We start from the raw sequence: 19,364 nt of genomic DNA on the forward strand, positions 1-19,364 counted from the left end.
AGAAGAGGTATAATAATGTGGCCAGGCGCAGTGGCTCACGCCTGTAATCCCAGCACTTTGGGAGGCCGAGGCAGGCAGATCACGAGGTCAGGAGATAGAGACCGTCCTGGCTAACATGGTGAAACCCCGTCTCTACTAAAAAACAAACAAACAAACAAAAAAATTAGCCGGGCGTGGTGGCGGGCGCCTGTAGTCCCAGCTACTTGGGAGGCTGAGGCAGGAGAATGGTGTGAACCTGGGAGGCAGAGGTTGCAGTGAGCTGAGATCCCACCACTGCACTCCAGCCTGGGGGACAGAGCAAGACTCCGTCTCAAAAATAATAATAATAATAATATTAATATTGCCTACCTTGTAAGGGTGTGAGATAATAAAATAAGCAAATTCATTTAAAGCAATTAGCCCAGTGCTCGAAACACAGTAAGTGGTTAACAAGTGTTAGGAATTATTAATCTCTCTGAACCTCTATTTCTTCATCTGTAAAATGGAGGCTGATAATAATATGTAGAGTTACTGTGAGGCTTAGAAGATATAGCAAATGGTAAAGTGTGTAAGATGATGCCTATCATGTGGTAAGTTACCACGATATGACTCTCCAAAAAGAATTGAAAATAAGCAAGTCTGCTTTTTTAAAAGTCCACAGAATTGCAAATCTGCCTGATAGCTGGTGTTGTTCAAACGTCAAAAGCACACCTTTAAATATTGTTCCTCAAACATTTATTAGCTTATTGCATTTATTAGCTTAAGATCCTTTACCCTTTGTGCAGAAACTTGGAGTGTGGGTGGAGAATGCTCTCCAGGAAACTTAAAGCTAAATTCTTAGAGTATTGGCTGAAGATCAGTCCAAAATGAAGAAACTCGTCTCTGAAATGAGGTAAAAAAGCTACTAACAGGAAGTCAAACACATATACATGTAAACAAAATAATATAATAAACCCCCAAGTAGCCAGCATACAACTTCAATAGTTATCAACTCACAGAAATATTGTTTCAACTATCTTTCCACCTACTCCCCAACCCCCACACTGAGTATAATTTTGAAGCAAATCCCAGATATCAAATAATTTTATATAAAAATATTTCAGGCCGGGCCGGGCGCGGTGGCTCATACCTGTAATTCCAGCACTTTGGGAGGCCAAGGTGGGAGGATCATGAGGTCAGGAGATTGAGGCCATCCTGGCTAACACAGTGAAACCCCGTCTCTACTAAAAATACATAAAATTAGCCGGGCATGGTGGCAGGAGCCTGTAGTCCCATCTACTCAGGAGGCTGAGGCAGGAGAATGGCGTGAACCTGGGAGGCAGAGCTTGCAGTGAGCCAAGATCATGCCACTGTACTCCAGCCTGGGTGACAGAGTGAGACTCAAAAAAAGTAAAAATCAAAAAAAAAATTAGGATAAAAAAAAATTTCAGGCAGGTCGTTGTGGCTCATGCCTGTAATCCCAGCACTTTGGGAGGCTAAGGCAGGCAGATCACTTGAGGTCAGGAGTTCGAGACCAGCCTGGCTGACATGGTGAAACCCTGCTTCTACTAAAAATACAAAAAAATACAAAACAAAAAAAATTAGCCTGGCATGATGTGTGTCTGTAGTCCCAGCTACTTGGGAGACTGAGACAGGAGGATCAGTTGAGCCAGGGAAGCGGAGGTTGCAGTGAGCCAAGATCACACCATTGCATCCAGCTTGAGCAACAGAGCGAGACCCTGTCTCAAAATAATCAAAAAGGCTGGGCACGGTGGCTCATGCCTGTAATCCCAGCACTTTGGGAGGCTGAGGCGGGTGGATCACTTGAGGTCAGGAGCTTGAGACCAGCTGGCCGACAAGGTGAAACCCTGTCTGTTAAAAAAATATATATACAAAAATTAGCCAGACGTGGTGGCACACACCTGTAATCTCAGCTATTTGGGAGACTGAGGCAGGAGAATCCTGTGAAGCCAGGAGGTGGAGGTTGCAGTGAGCTGAGATTGTACCACTGAACTTCAGCCTACGCAACAGAGAGACTCTGTCAAAATAAGAAAGAAGAAAGAAAGAAAGAAAAAAAAGAAAGAAAGAAAGAAAGGGAATTTCATTGTGTATGTCTAAAAGGTAAGGGTTTGACAAGGTCTGGCTCTATCACCCAGGCTGGAATGCAGTGGCACGATCTTGGCTCACTGCAGCCTCTGCCTCTGGGGCTTAAGTGATTCTCCTGCCTCTGCTTCCCAAGTAGTTGGGACTACAGGTATGCACCACCATGCCCAGGTAAATTTTTGTTTGTTTGTTTTGTAGAAACGGAGTTTCACCATGTTGCCCAGGCTGGTCTCCAACTCGTGAGCTCAAGCGAACCGTCCACCTCAACCTCCCAAAGTGCTGGGGTCACAGACGTGAGCCACTGCGCCAGCCAGGATTATTTTTTAAACAAAACCATAATACAATGGTCATACCAATTTTTAAACAATAATTTTTTTTTTTTTGAGACAGAGTTTCACTCTTGTTGCCCAGGCTGGAGTGCAATGGTGCGATCTCGGCTCACTGCAACCTCCGCCTCCTGGGTTCAAGTGATTCTCCTGCCTCAGCCTCCCGAGTAGCTGGAATTACAGGCATGCGCCACCACGCCCAGTTAATTTTGTATTTTTAGTAGAGATGGGGTTTCTCCATGTTGGTCAGGCTGGTCTCGAACTCTCAACCTCAGGTGATCCACCCGCCTCAGCCTCCCAAAGTGCTGGGATTACAGGCGTGAGCCACCATGCCCGGCCTTAAACAATAATTTTTTAATATCGTCAAACATTCTATTATCTCCATGATGGAATGATCTCCATAAATTCCAATTGTCTCCGTAAATGTCTTTTTTTAAAAAATGTCTGTTTGAATCAAGGTCCACACATTGCAGTGAGTTGACATGACTTTTAAGTATATTTTAATCTACAGGTTTCCCTTCTATCTCTTTCTGTTTTCCCCCTGCAACTTATTTGTTGAAGAAACATGGTCATTTATCCTATAGATTTTCTCACAGTCAGGATTTTGTTTATTGCATCCACATAATGTAGTTTGATATCCTATCATTGGTAGATAGATCTAAGGCTTGATCAGCTTTGAGTTTGATTTTTTTTTGGCAAGAATATTTCTTATATCTGGAAGCACATAGTATCCAGTTGTCTCTGAAACGATACTTTAAGATATCAGAAATTAATGATTGTCTTCACTTGAAATATAAGAATATAAAAAGAGTCTATCCAGCAACAGATAAATGGATAAACAAAATGTGGCATATACATACAACGTATGCACATTTTTATTCAGCCATAAAAAGGAATGAAATTTTAATACAGGCTACAACATGGATGACCCTTAAAAATGTTATGCTAAGTGAAAGAATCCAGACCCAGAAGGACAAATATTGTTTGATTCTCCTTATATGAGCTAACTAGAATATGCAAATTCATAGAGACAGAAAATAGAAGTTACCATGGACTAAGGGTGGGGGGAATTGTGAGTCATTGTTTAATGGGTATGGAGTTTCTACCGGGGATTATTTAAAGTTCTGGAAATGGATAGTGGTGATGGTTGTACAATATTGTGAATGTACTTAATGCCACTGAATTGTACACATAAAATAATTTAAATGTACACATAAAATAGCTAAAATGCAGAGATTAACTATTTTATACATAAAATAATTAAAGCCCAGGAGTTCGAGGCTGCAGTGGGCTATGAGCACATGACTGCACACCACCCTGGGTGACAGAGCCAGACCCTGTCTTTAAAAAAAAAAAAAAAAAAAGGTAAATTTTAGGTTATGCATATTTTACCACAGAAAAATTTGTTTAAGAGCCTGGCTATTGCATAGAATATGGCCCCTCTTACAAACCCCTGATGGCATAAGTTTATGTAGTGGCCTTTCTATGAACCTACAGCCTTACTCTTGCACTGATCTACACATAGCTGTGGGGCTCCTTCTACACTTCCAAGAATTTCCTGACCTCTGCCTGATTCTACAGTGAGCAGGGGATCCATAGCCCTGCCAGCCAGGAGCCCAGCTCCCCAGACTATGGACATCTACAACCAGGAGGCAGCCAGGCAAATGCTTCTGGAGTTAAAAGGCTGAGATTGAGCCCTGCCTTTGCCACTTACTTGGCACAGGTGCTTCATCAAACGCCAACCTCTCCATCTCCACTCCTGTGCAATTGCAGCTACAAACTCTTACCTCGCAGGGTTATTGTAAGGATCAAATGAGGTCATACAATGGTCAAGTGCTGTACAAAGAGAGCTTTATGTTATTATGGTTGGAGTGATTCAGAAAGGATCAACCTAGTCACTTGTGCCCAGGAGTTTAAGACCAGCCTGGGCAACACAGTGAGATACCATCTCCACAAAAAATCAAAATGAACCAGGTGTGCCTGTAGTCCCAGGTACTCGGGAGGCTGAGGTGGAAGGATTGCTTGAGTGTGGGAGGTCAAACCTGCAGTGAGGTGTGATCGCGCCACTGCACTCCAGCCTGGGCGACAGAGCAAGACTCTGTCTCAAAAAAAAAAAAGGTTCAACTTAGGACTTAGGTCATCAACTTTAAGGAAAATTGATACCTTCAGAAGCTAGCTCTTTGCAAGCTAAACTTTTCTTGACATCACTCATGGTAAGGTCAGCAGTAGGGTGACCAACTCTGCTGGTTTGCCCGAGACTGAGGGCATTCCCAGGATGGGAGTTTTCAGTGCTAAAACTGAGAAAGTTCTGGGTGTGAGTTGGTCACCCAAGCAGTAACCGCCCAATTGCTAATTCTAGAGCCTGCCTCCCTGGCCTGCTAGTCAATGCCTATTCGACCTGCCTTCCTTCTAGAACTTGGCCTCCAGAAGTACTTGTGGATCTCCTGGCTAGATATACTTCCTCTGTTTGACTTTCATTGCTGACACTTCTCAGGATTTCTTCCTTTGCCTTTTGCTCTTATGATCCTACACTCCCTCCTTGGGAGATCTTGTTCATTCTCAGGACTCCTAAACACCTCCCACACAGTGGATAACTCCCAAATCTCCACGCAGACATTACTCTAGAGGCCAGCCTGGTATGTCCACCATCACTTACAAATACCCTCAGCTGTATCCAAAGTGAAATGTACAACCTTCACCACAGACTTTTTCCTTTTGGTTAATAACCCTAACCCTCTTTTGCTGGGGCCAGAAGTCCACTTTCCCTTCCTCCTTCCTCTCCTTCAGCCACCATCCTCAGGCACCAAGTCCTACTGATCTAATCCCTAAATATCTCTCAAATCTAGGTTGGGTGCAGTGGCTCACGCCTGTAATCCCAACACTTAGGGAGGCCGAGGCAGGCAGATCACTTGAGGTCAGGAATTTGAGACCAGCCTGACCAACATGGTGAAACCCTGTCTCGACTAAAAATTAGCTAAGTGTGGTGGCGCATACCTGTAATCTTAGCTACTCCGGAGGCTGAGGCACAAGAATCGCTTGAACCCTGGAGGTGGAGATTGCAATGAGCCAAGATCATGCCACTGCACTCCAGCCTGGGTGACAGAGCGAGACTCCACCTCAAACAACAACAACAAAAATCTCTCAGATCTCCATCAGCCACTCATTCCCACTGCCATCGCCTCAATTCAGGCCTTGTCAACTCTTAGCTGGACAATAGCAACGGCCTTCTCGTGGTCGCCTGCTTCCGCTTCATCCCCTCTAACTGGTCCTCCATGTGGCTGCCAGAGTTGTCTTTCCATAATACAAATATGATCATGTCACTTCTTGGCTTGGGATTCCTCAAAGGTTCCCAATGGCCCAGCTCAGGGGTCAGCACACTTTCTGTAAAGGACTTGATGGTAAATAGTTTACGCTTTGGGGACAAGATGGTCTCTGTCTCAACTACTCAACTCTTATTGTGGCACAAAAGCAATACATAAATGAATGGGCATGGCTGTGGTCCAGTCAAACTTTATTTACTCAGCCAGGTGTGGTGGTGTGTGCCTGTGCTCCCAGCTATTCGGGAGGCTGAGGTGGAAGGATTACCTGAGCCCGGGAGTCGGAGGTTGCAGTGAGTCAAGATCATGCCACTGCCCTCCAGCCTGGGCCACAGAGTAAGAGGCTGTCTCAAAAGTAAACAAAAACAAAAACAAAAAAACTTTATTTACAAAAACATGTAGCATAACAGCCACCTCTCTCTTTGTTTGACCCAAGGGCAGTAGTTTGCTGACCTGGCCTAGGGAATAGAATCCAAGCTTCTTTTTCTTTCTTTTTTTTGAGATAGGGTCTGGCTCTGTCACCCAGGCTGGAGTGCAATGGTGCAATCTTGGTTCACTGCGACCTCCGCCTCTTGGGTTCAAGTCGTCCTCCCACCTCAGCCTCCCAAGTAGCTGGGACCACAGGTGTATGCCACCACTCCCAGCTAATTTTTGTATTTTTTGTAGAGACGGGGTTGTACCATGCTGCCCAGGCTGGTCTCAAACTCCTGGGCTCAAGTGATCTGCCTGCCTAGGCCTCCCAAAGTGCTGGGATTACAGGTGTGAGCCACCATGCCCAGCAGAATCCAAACTTCTTAGCATAACCCAAAAGACTCTTTACATGCAGCAGCCATGGGAAATGCCTTGCTCTCCCCAGAACGTAGCACCATGCCTTTGTATGTGCTGCCCCCTCCATTTGAAACATCCTTCCCCATCTCCCAAGTTGAGGGAGTCCACTAGTTCTTCAAGGTCTATTCTAAATGTTAGCTTCTCTGTGGAGCTGCCCCACAACCCCTTCAGGAGGAGTTGGTCGTCCCTCACCGACTCCAGCACTTTCTGTCTCTTTTACCACATTTATCATTCTATGAATGTATATGGTATTTATTTGTCATCATGTCTTTTGACTGTGATGCTTCAAAACCAGTCTTATTTATACTTCTTCCTCCCCCTAGTCCCAAGCACATTGCTGGGATTATGATAGGGTAATAATAGCTACTGCTAAACACCATATGTGTGTTCTCATTTAATACTCTCAGCAAAGCCCATGGAGGTAGGCACTGTTATCCCCATTATACAGATGAGGAAATGAGGCGTGGACAGTAGAAGTAACTTGCCCAGGTCACACAGCTAGTAATTGCATAGCCAAGACTAGCACTCAGATCTCTGACCCTGAAGCCTAAAGTTTGATTACCATATTATACTGACCAGTAGTTATTTGCTTAATTAATAGATGTATTAAGACAATAAATGTATTAATTATTTCCATGGCACAAGATGTCAAAATTACATGGAAAGTGGCTTTCCCTTCGGTCAAGAGCCCTGATTATAGTCACGGAGAAGAGCTGGCTAAATTCCCTGAGAACAGATGGGGCCCAGGAGAAGGTCACTGACTAGCTGATTATGAGCATGGGAAAAAGGACCTGAGCTATATTTCCACCATGTACCAAACCAGAGCAAGGTGGACCACTCCCATTTTAATCCTTCCAACAACTCTGCAAACTCCATGTTGTTATTTTCCTATTTAAATGAGGAACTGAGGCTTTAAAAGGTCAGAGATTGGCCAAGACCACACAGCTATTATAGATAATGTCAGAAGCAGGATTAAAACTCAAGTCTCAATGGCTCTAAAACCACAAGTAATTTCCACAAATCCAGTTTGTTCCAAAGAAAGAGTAACCAGCAGGGTCTCCTGATTTCCCACATAGCATCCAGCAAATCCTGTCACCTGTCTCCAGCTCAGAGTTCCCACTTATAGAGGGGGGCTATAATCCTCCCAGCAGAGACAGAATGAACAAAACCAGGTTATGTCTCCATTATTCTTTCCTTGGAAAATGGCTCTACATAGAAATCTATCTGGGCTGGGTGCGGTAGCTCACACCTATAATCCCAGCACTTTAGGAGGCCAAGGCAGGAGGATCACTTGATCTCAGGAGTTCAAGATGAGCCTGGGCACATGGGGAGACCCCATCTCTACAAAAAATTAAAAAATTAAACAATAGCTGGGTGCAGTAGCTCACGTCTGTAATCCCAGCACTTTGGGAGGCCGAGACGGGCAGATCACTTGAGGTCAGGAGTTCAAGACCAGCCTGGCCAACATGGAGAAACCCTGTCTCTACTAGAAATACAAAATTAGCTGGCTTGGTGGCGCATGCCTGTAATTCCAGCTACTTGGGAGGCTGAGGCAGGAGAATCGATTGAACCCAGGAGGCGGAGGTTGCGGTGAGCTGAGATCGCACCATTGCACTCCAGCCTAGGCAACAAGAGCGAAACTCCATCCCAAGAAAAGGAACAAAGGAAGGAAGAAAGGAAGGAAGGAAGGAAGGGAGGGAGGGAAAGAGGGAGGGAGGTAAAGAAAGAAAGAAAGAATTACTCAAACTCAGTTTGAACACTCAGTACCACCCTGCATTATCCTCCCCCTTCCCAGGGGCAACCACTATTCTGAATTGGATGTTTGTTATTTCCATGCACTTCCATACGCTTTTATTACATAGCATATATCCTCAAACAATATAAAATATTATTTTACCTAGTTTGTAAAAATAATACCACACTGTCATTACTCTTCTGAAACTTGCTCTTTTTGCTCATCATTGAAAGATTCCTATTATTTTTAAAAAAAGAATAACAAAATAAAGAAGAAAGATTCCTATTAATATGATTAGCTCTAATTTATTCATTTCACTGTTGTATAATATTCCATGATGTGAATATAACACAGTCTGTCTATTCTGTTGATAAATATTCATGGTTGTTTCTGGTTTTTGCTATTTGCAAAATAATGCTGCTATGAACATTGTGAGACATATCTTCAGGTGCTCACTGTGCAAGATATTTTCTGGTGCATATATTTAGGAATAGAATTGCTGGGTCACAGGAGGTTGACATCTCCAATTATCCTAGATATTGTCCCCCTCACTTTTTTTTTTTTTTTTGAGATGGAGTCTTGCTGTGTCTCCCAAGCTGGAGTTCAGAGGTGTGATCTCGGCTCACTGCAACCTCCGCCTCCTGGATTCAAGTGATTCTCCTGCCTCAGCCTCCTGAGTAGCAGAGACTACAGGCGTGCACCACCATGCCTGGCTAATTTTTTTATTTTTAGTAGAGACGGGGTTTCACCATGTTAGCCAGCTTGGTCTCGAACTCCCAACTTCAGGCAACTGCCCGCCTTGGCCTCCCAAAATGCTGGGATTACAGGCGTGAGCCACTGCGCCTGCCGCCCCCGCCACACACACTTTTTAGGACCTAGACATCAATAATCTGAGGCTGAAAAGCAGCTTCAATTGCAGCAAGCAGGACTGAAATTAGACCCTGCAAGGAACTTTTTTAGTTGTTAAAGGATTGTTAGAAATCGGCCCAAGTTGTGGAAGACACTGGAGGAATGTCTGTCACTCTGCTTTTCTGACATGCCTCAAGTACAGCTCAGTCTGGACTCAGTTCTAATTGTAGCCTAAAGATTTCAAAATTAATTAAATCGGCATATATGAGTTGAGCTCCTATTCCACGCAAAGTGCTAAGCTGGGAGCAGAAGCTTGTGTCCTCTTCCTGCAAAGCACATCGTCACCACCCCTCCTTGCAACTGAGATGAAAGACCAATGAGAGACATGTGCAAAGTTACACAGCAGGATGGGATTTAAATAACTGCTGAAGACCACAGTAAAGGGGAAGTCACAAAATACTGCGTGACTAATTGTTAAGTGAAATTGCCTTGGAGGCACAGAGGAAAAAAATCAGAGCAGTGGTCAAGGAACGTTGCACAGAAAAAAGGTAGTATCTGAGCAATAATAGTAGAATGTAGGTGATAATCATGGCATCTACTACTCATTGATGAACATTGTGTGCCTTGCACTTTACTCAGAGTATCTTGTTTAATCCTCACAATGACCCTGTGAAGAAAGTATGATTAGTCTCTTCTGACACAGCAGGAAACTGATCACCAGAAGACCAAGTAGCTTACGCAAGCTCACACAACCACCGAGTGGCGGGGCAGGATTCGAACTTAGTCCTGAAGCCTCCCACGTCAGAGGTCCCCGGGAGGGAACACAAGCAAAGGGTGGGAGGTAGGGGAGGGAGCCCCAGGCACAGCTCCTGGTGTGGCTAGAATGGAGGGCTTCTTTGGAAAAAGTAGGTGATCCGGCTAGAAAAGGAGGTCCAGGCTGGCTCATGGAAGATGCTGGTTTCCAGGCATAGGAACTTTAAGTGATTAATTCAAGGAGATTCCACAGCGAGGCAGGTGTATGTTGGAATAGAGGAAAGGGCAGTGCAGGCAGAGAGGTGCCTGGCAGGTTCAGCAACAGCAGTGCAGGGGGCCGAAAATACAAACTTGAACAAGGAAGATGACTTGGGGACCCAACAGAGGGGACAGGTGTAGGAGAGACTTACAAGGAAGAATGTGTGGGGACTTGGCTTCCAACAGCCGTAAGAGCAACTGAGGGAGGAATTGACAATAGATTCCACAATTGTGGGTGGCCCAGGAAGCTAGGCAAGCAAAAGCAACGCTGTAGGCAGCTGAGGTTAATACAAATGGCTAACGTTTGTTACCAGCTACTATCTATAAGCACTTTACATGTATAAACTCATTTCACCCTCACAGCATTCCTATGAAGTAGGAGTGAGGATCTATTATGATTTCCGTTTTTCAGTTAGAGAAACTGGGGTACAGAGAAGTTAAGCAATTTGTCTGAGGTTACACCACTGGTAAATGGCAGAGCTGGGATTTGAACCTGGGTTCCAGAGGCCTCACTCTTCATCACTTCACTAAACTGTGTCTGTTGAGGTAACATCTTCAGAAAGAAGCAGGGTTTTCCACTCCCACTCCACATTCCCCACCCTCAAAGACCAAGCAGGATGGCAGGATTTTTTTGCTGAGTGGCATTGCTGGGGGGGAGTGTCAGGTCTCTGCTGCTACCCTAAGCCAGCTGCTTGTCACCACCGGGCAGTGAGCATGGGGCGTGCGGTGCTGGGGCCTGCACTGCTGGGGCACTCACCAGCAGGAGGGCACCTGGAGCACGGTCCTTCCTCATCACAGTGGAGCAGAAGTAGCACTAGCTGGTGCAGGCCACAGAGCGTGCCTGGCAAGGGAAGACCCAGCCCAGGTAGCACAACTCCATCGGGTTCAGGAGGAAGCAGCCCAACCCCACCTGCACATGAAGTTCAGGAAGATTTTCTTCCTCATGGCTCTGGACACAAAGCAGTCAGGACTGGAGGGACAGGGGAGGAGTGGCAGTGAAGCAACCATGGCATATCACACCCAGAGAGTAGACCCCACCAGGAAGGCCAGCTCCATGCAGGCCCGCAGCACCACGTGGGCAGTGCAGACAGCCAGGACCCTGTATGACTGCAGGCTGGGGTACCAGGTGGCAGCCCCAAGGCATTTGGGGAAAAACCTCCTCTCCTACTAAGAGCTGCCCCTCTAGAAAGAAAGAAGCCCCAAGGGGCCCCAGCCTGGGTCCAGGGAGAGCCCCTCCAGCTGCCAGCTCTTGCACGGTTTCCAGCAGGTACCCCCTCTCCACATCCACTGTCTCCCATTCACCATCTAGTGCAGCACACAGACAACAAAGAAGATGGAGGGTACGGCCACCAGCACAATCTGGAAAGCCCCAGCGGAAGTGGGAGAAGTGGTCATTGGTGCAGCCAGGCCGCAGGGTATTGCAGATGAACTTGCAGTGCTCATCCCACAGACAGCACTTCCCAGCAGGGCGACAAGCAGGATGTGTAAGACCAGGACAGTGAGCCATACCTTGCCAACCACGGTGGAATCGTTCTGCACTCGGGTCAGGAGCCAGCCCAGGAATGACCAGTCGCTCATCTTGTGATTTCTGTGGACACAGAAATCACAAGAAATTGAAGTGAGGGGACAGGAAGGGAAGGGGACGAAAACATAATGCCCCCACAGCCAGATATTTGCAAAGCTATTTCTGGCCCACAGCAAGAGCTCCAGCTCCATCTGTGCCTGACGCCCAGGCATGCCACTCGCTGCCTGACAAGGATGGGAAGAACAAGCTGGCAGAGAAAAGGACACTGCAGAAGAAAAGATGGAAGCAGTGACTCCCAGAAGGAGCCCAACGCAGCCCAACATTCACCAAGACAGGCTGCACACTTCTATTACAGTTAGGCTTCCACTGAACTCTTCCTAACTCAACAGGCTTTCGGGCCTCCCAACTGTCTTGGCATTTTCTTCAGATCGACATAGTACCAGGCATATTTCTCCCAAGATGCCACGGTGGAAATTCATGACCTAGATTGTGTTTCTTCCGAGTCCAGGGTAACATGTTTTTTGACTACTATGTCAGGGTTTGAAAGAGACAGGCCTTACATCCTCCTGTCTCTGTCCAGTGGATTCTCCTTAAGGCCTCATATTGCAACAATCTCATTTTACTTTACATTTCTGCAGCTTCTGACCCTGAGAATTACTGAAAAAATTCCCAAGGGTATAGCTTGTGGGGCATTTACACCCATTATTTCTGTCAACACTCTCCCTTCTGCCTCTCAAATAAACATGTAGTTTATTTATTTATTGTATTTTTTTAGAGACAGGGTCTTACTCTGTCACCCAGGCTGGAGTGCAGTAACATGAACATAGTTCACTGTAACCTCAAACTCCTAGGCGGAAGTGATCCTCCTGCCTCAGCCTCCTGAGTAGCTAGGACTACAGGTGTGTCCCACATGCCCAGCTAATTAAAAAAAAAATTTGCCGGGCACCATGGCTCATGCCTGTAACCCCAGCACTTTGGGAGGCTGAGGCATGCAGATAACTTGAGGCCAGAAATTCGAGACTGCCTGGCCAACATGGCAAAACCCCAACTCCTGACTCTACTAAAAATACAAAAATTAGCCAGGCGTGGTGGCGCATGCCTTGTAGTCCCAGCTACTCGGGAGGCTGAGGCAGGAAAATCGCTTGAATCCAGTAAGCGGAGGCTGCAGTGAGCCGAGCTCATCATGCCACTGTACTCCAGCCTGGGCGACAGGGTGAGACGCCATCTCAGAAAATATGTGTGTGTGTGTGTGTGTGTGTGTGTGTATTATATATATTGTATATTATATATATTATATATATTATATATTTTTTATATATTATATATTATATAATATATTTTATATATATTATATATTATATAATATATATTATATATATTTTATATATAATATATATTATATAATATATATTATATATAATATATATTATATAATATATAATATATATATTTTGTAGAGGCTTGAGGGAGTCTTCTTATCTCACCCAGGCTGGTCTCGAACTCCTGGCCTCAAGCGATCCTCCCACCTCAGCCTCCCAAAGTGCTGGGATTACGGTCGTGAGCCACTGCACCCAGCTGACACAGTACGTAGCCTGCTTACTACGCAGCAGTACGTAGCATGCTTACTATACAAACTCAGGGTAAAGACCAGACCCCAGCCTTCCCTGTAACTGATTGCCTTCTCTAACTCCCTCCTAAACAGAATCCTGGAGATCCTACTGAGAACCTTCCTTCTTCCTCCTTAACTTTCAGGAAGCCAAGTTGTCTTGACTCTTATCTCCCTGGCTGCTCCGTTTGAGTCAATGTGCTGTTCTTCTCTCCACTCTGTAGACATTAATGTTCCTCAGGATACTTTAAGCCTCTTACTGGTCCTGGAGGACGCAGTCCACTAGGATGGCCACAGGCATTTCCAACTCACATTAAACATACTCTCCTGGGCCGGGTGTGGTGGCTCACGCCTGTAATTACAGCACTTTGGGAGGCTGAGGCAGGCGGATCGTCTGAGGTCAGGAGTTTTTGAGATCAGCCTGGCCAACATGGTGAAACCCCAGCTCTACTAAAAATACAAAAACTAGCTGGGTGTGGTGGCAGGTGCCTGTAATCGCAGCTACTCAGGAGGCTGGGGCAGGAGAATCACTTGAACCTGGGAGACAGAGGTTGCAGTGAGCCGAGATTATGCCACTTCACTCCAGCCTGGGTGACAGAGTGAGACTCTTTCTCAAAACAAACAAACAAACAAAACTTACTCTCCTGGAAAGGAGTGTTATAGTGGCTATGAACTCAGACTTAGACACCCAGAGCTGTGTAACCTCGAGCAAGTTGCTTAAACTCTCTATGCTTCTGTTTCTTCATCTGTGTAATGGAGATTCTAAGGGGATTTACCTCATAGAGTTGTATGGGTTACTTGAGTTAATGTATGTAAAGGACTTAGAAAAGTGCTTGGCACATGGTAAGTACTTCATTAATATTAAGTATTATTATCTCTCCTCCAAAGCTACTCCTCTTCCTGTCTTGGTGAATGGCACCATCATCCAAGTTGCCCAAATCCTGATCATTATCCATCATTTCTCCCTCTCGCTTCTCCTCATCTAATTGGTAACCAAGTCCCCACAGTACTACTTCCTTAATATCTCTCACACCCACTGCCTTCTCATCAGTCCATGGCATAGACTTAGTCCAGACCTTCCCCTTTCTCTTGCCGGCATTATTACACTAACCTCCTAGTAACTTGCTCTGCCTCCAGTTTTGTCCCTTTGATCTACCCTCAAATGGCTGCATTCCTATAGATTTTTTTTTTTTTTGAGACGGAGTCTTGCTCTGTCGCCCAGGCTGGAGAGCAGTGGTGTGATCTCAGCTCACCGTAACCTCACCTCCTGGGTTCAAGCAATTCTCCTGCCTCAACCTCCTGAGTAGCTGGGACTACAGGCACGTGCCACCACACCTGGCTAAATGGCTGCATTCCTAAAATGCATATCTGGTTATGCATATGGTTTCATCTCCCTCATCAAAACTCAGCCGCGTGCAAAGGCTCACGCCTGTAATTCCAACCCTTTGGAAGGCCAAGGTGGATGTATCACTTGATCTCAGAAGTTGAGACCAGTCTGGGCAACACAGTGAAACCCCGTCTCTACAAAAAATACAAAAAATAGCTGGGTGTGGTGGTGCATGCCTGTAATCCCAGCTACTTGGGAGGCTGAGGTGGGAGGATCACTTGAGCCTGGGAGGTGGAGGTTGCAGTGAGCCAAGATCATGCCACTGCACTCCAGCCTTGGTGACAGAATGAGAGCCTGTCTCAGAAAAAATAAATAAATAAATAAATAAATAAATAAATAAACAACTCACTCTCCAATGGCTTCCATTGTCCTTGGGATAAAGCCTAACTCCCCAAGAAGGCATGTAAGACCCTCTCTAATCTAGTCTCTGCCTACACCTCCAGCCCCATCTGTGTCCTCCTTACCCTTCAGCTCTCAGACTTCCTGGAAGCCCTACACACCTGCAGACAGCTTCATGCTCCTGAGCAGTCACTCACCCTCTTCCTCTGCCTGTCCAGCCCCACTGTCTTCCAGCCAATTCTTACTTACCTCCCAACATTCAGTTCAAGCAGTACCTTCTCCAAGGAAGTTTCCTGATCCTATCCCAGAAAGGACTGACCATGCCCATGGTGGTCTCCTGCTTAGTGCATTGTCTGCTGAACATAATGTCTGTAATTTCCATTTATAAACAAATTTCATTTAAAACATAAGAATTATCTCCATTACTTGACTGCGAATCATTCAATGGCAGAAACTGTATCTTATTTGTCACTACTCTTTTTTTTTTTTTGTAAAGAGAAAAAATTTTATTGTGATATAAAATGCACTTATAAAATGTCCACCAGAAGGCATGTAATTCTTCACTGCTATATAAATTTACTGGGAATATGTTATTCACCATCTAGGTATGATACTGCCAACTAAAACATACTGTAAACGATGAGTTATACTCTATAACAAATGCATCACTGATTTTCAGCAATCATTGGTTTAATAATTAGTTTAAGACTATAATCACATCTATATTCTGGAATGTCCATTTACTTTAATGTAGTGTAGTGGAATTTAGAGTATAATTGCACATAGATGGTACAGAAAAACATTCACTTCTAAATTATTGTATACCTTCATGACAGGTAGTCTTCCTGACTGAAAATAACAGCTTCAGCTATGGTCTGCTCCAGGATTCTTAATGCAATAATTTGGGTGTATGTGTGTCTGTCTACGTGTACACCCATGGAACAACTTATATCTTTAGTAAACAAGTGCAACATTATTCTCAGTTATTTTGCATGTTTAAATATTATAGTCTGATTATTTGTAAACAAACAAAACCCCACACAAATACTCTAAATTCTATTTTAAAAATCTGTCAACCCATAATTATTCTAATATGCTTTACTTACTCGAACACAAATTTCTGAAAGGTGCATATATTACCTTAGATAATAAGGTTTAGAAATGAGTGCTTCACACTATGAAATGTGCATTTCCGATAAGTGATTTATGCAGCATAAAGTTTAGATCAAGAAATTACAAATCCTGGATCCCCACAGTTCATTTAGAAAATGCCTCAAAGTTATGGCTCTTGCAGCAGGTTTAACAGATTAAACATTAAGTGTTCTAGCTCCCTCTATTTCAAGTATCAAAGAAATATGAGGCTCAAAATCTCTCTAGGTTGTAACTGATAATGCAAAGCATTAGAAAACAGTTAAATGTGTTTTGAAATACAGTATTAACTGAGATTATTAAGGTGTTTATCTACGTTAGCCTGTTAAGTACCAGGACTTTAAAGTAATTTTAAATCTGAGTATTTGCTCAGAAGTGATAAAGAACACAATTTGCCTATAAATGTATGGTTTTGGAGAAAAAAGTCAATCCTGATTTTTAAAACTCAACATTTTTTGTTTCCTTTTGAATGATATTAATTTAAATTTCAATCTGAACATAAATGTTTGGCCTCACAGAGCATTAGAAAGATAATTTACTAAGGCTGTTTAAAAGTCTTTCAATGTCATTAGAAATCCTGCAGTATAGAAAATATCTGGTACCCTTAAAGTTTCAGAGTGAGCTGATCTGCAATTTTAATGCTATTAAAAAAAAAGTCAAATATAAAAGACTGCTGCAATATAAAGCACTATTTCTAAAAGTTGCAGACATGATCCTACAGTCTGACAGAGCTAGCACAGCTACTCGGAGTAAGCAACTTGCGGCCTTTTCCGAGGCACACTAAGTTTCCAGCTTAGAAAATACTCTAGCCTGGTCCTTAACATATTCATTAAGTAATATGAATATTTTAAGGTCCTTCTGTCCCACAAGAAAGTAGTAAGTTTACCCTTTGAGACATCAGACTTTCTAGAGCTGGCCCAACTGTATAAAATTTTAAGAAGTATTTGAAGTGTGGAATCAACACTATGAAAACAGTGTGACAAAATTAAACATTATGTTGAACCCTTTTCTAGCTTTAACTCAAAAATAGAAATCATGAGTCTTCTATAACATTAATTTTAAAAACACACAGAAGTGAAAAGTGCTATTTTCCAAAAAGTACAATGTTTTTCCCTACTTTATATCAACATGGAATGATTTCAGTTCTCCTGTACTAAAAGCTGGACTTTTAAAAAACTAGTATTGCAATGTTTAATGTGACGACTTTAATCAGTAGTAGCTTCAGTTTCCGCTGGGCCCCTAATTAGTCTTCGAATTCCTCTTTTTCCTGCAGGACCTTTTGGTTTTGCAAAACTTTGCTTGTGTGCCTGCTGCTTGGGATGTACTTCTTCATAAAGGAAGTCTGCAGTCAACTCATCCCCATTGTCTATCTCGATCTTTCTAATTACATCCATTTGTAGTTGTCTTTCTACAATTTCTAGCAGAGGGCTCTTGCAGCTAGAATACAGCATCCGCTCTCTTATACTGCATGTGTATCCAGGCATTGAATAAATAAAACTATGGACTCTAAATAGTCTCCTTCATGGGAATGTTTATACAGAAAGAAATGGTAACGAGCTGAATCCTTGGGAATCCTCTTTGGCAAATCTTTCAGTTCTGTATTTGTTGTGTTGGCCAAAATTATAATTTCATTTTTTATATCTATTTCCAACTGCACATAGTTGAGCTGTCTGTTATTCAATTTTTCCAAAGCCTGAAAGGCTTCTCGAGAAATGGGAAATGCTACTCCTTGTAGTGTTTGATGCTTAGTGTCCACACCCACGTCAGTCTGTACCTCATTGATTTTAATCTGTCGTAATTCTTCCTCAGCTGCAGTCAGTGGGGCAGGGGAAGATTGTGACAGCAAGTATTTTTTATATCCATGTAATGATACATCTTCCTTTACTGTTCCAAATATTTCATCTTTAATGTGGCCACCTCCAAATTCCTTCTTCAGAGTTGCTCTTGTTGCTGCATACAACATTTTTTGACGAACATGAGAATGATCTGGAGACCATGCAATGAATATCCATTCATATCCCTGGGCATTCTGAGAATCTAACCTGAATAATATATAGCATGGTTGTTTGTCCTCCAACAGGGGTAAAACAAAGGAATCATAATCCTTATCCCAGGAATCTGAAGGCTGACTATATGATCCAATCACAAGTTGCTCATTTTCAATAGATATTTTCAGAAGTCTGTACTTTCCATTTCTGGCTCTGGCAAAGATCTCTTTAACATCTTCACTTGCTTGGATGCCGGTCTGGTGGGACATGGCGGCGGCCGCTAGCTCCCGGCTCCGGCGCTGAGTGCAGCCAGCGGCCCCGGCCGGCGGCTCCAGGAAGTCTTGTCACTACTCTTATTATTTTTCGAGATAAGGTCTCACTCTGTACTCAGGCTAGAAAGCAGTGGCACAATCTGGACTCACCACAACCTCTGCCTCACAGGCTCAAGTGATCCTCCTACCTCAGTCTGCCACCTCAGCCTCCCAAGTAGCTGGAACTATAGGCGTGCATCACCATGCCTGCCTAATTTTTGTATTTTTTGTAGAGACGAGGTTTCACCATGTTGCCCAGGCTGGTCTCAAACTCCTGGGCTCAAGCGATCCGCCCACCTCGACCTTCCAAAGTGCAGATTATAGGTGTGAGCCACCGCACCCGGCCATCACCACTCTAAATATGAAGTAAGTGTTTAATATATGTTTATTAAATGAATGAGTGAAAGAATGAATGGGTAGATGATAGAATTCCTCCATCATTGGGGTTCCCAGAGCTCCAGAGAGAGGCGTACTCTCCAAGACTTCTGAATTATTCCCATCTCCAAGAACACTCTTTGCTTTTTCTTTCATCCCAACCCTACCCACCTCTTGAGACCCACTTCCTCTAGGAATTCTCCCCTGACTATTCCAACCCACCCCGAATGCCTGCATCCCTGAATTCCTTATGCTCACTGCTATGCAGGATCCCTGTGCACATTCTGGCTGGCCTCATTCCCTGTTATCAAGCCTTATCTTGTTGTTGTGCCCTACAGAGCAGCCAGCACAAGGGAGCTGCTCAGATAGACTCACACACTGGTCAACTTGTCCAGGAACAGAAAGGCCTGAGAGGAGGGAGGTTCCGGAGGAAGCTCTGCCAGATTTTACTCAGAGCCCAGAGTTCAAATTTCCCCCACTGCTGGCTCCTCCTTATCACAGCTAGGAAGGATATCAGATGAAATTGGGGAAACAGAGGCACCAGGCAGGAAAAAAAC

General features: G+C 44.2%; 2 pseudogenes; both read right to left on the bottom strand.

The window, feature by feature from the left end:
* On the bottom strand, nt 10,990-11,705 carry LOC100421028 (gap junction protein alpha 4 pseudogene; annotated as a pseudogene).
* Nucleotides 15,476-18,461, bottom strand: TWF1P1 (twinfilin 1 pseudogene 1; annotated as a pseudogene).

Source organism: Homo sapiens, chromosome 17 (assembly GCF_000001405.40).
Source record: "Homo sapiens chromosome 17, GRCh38.p14 Primary Assembly".
NCBI lineage: Eukaryota > Metazoa > Chordata > Mammalia > Primates > Hominidae > Homo > Homo sapiens.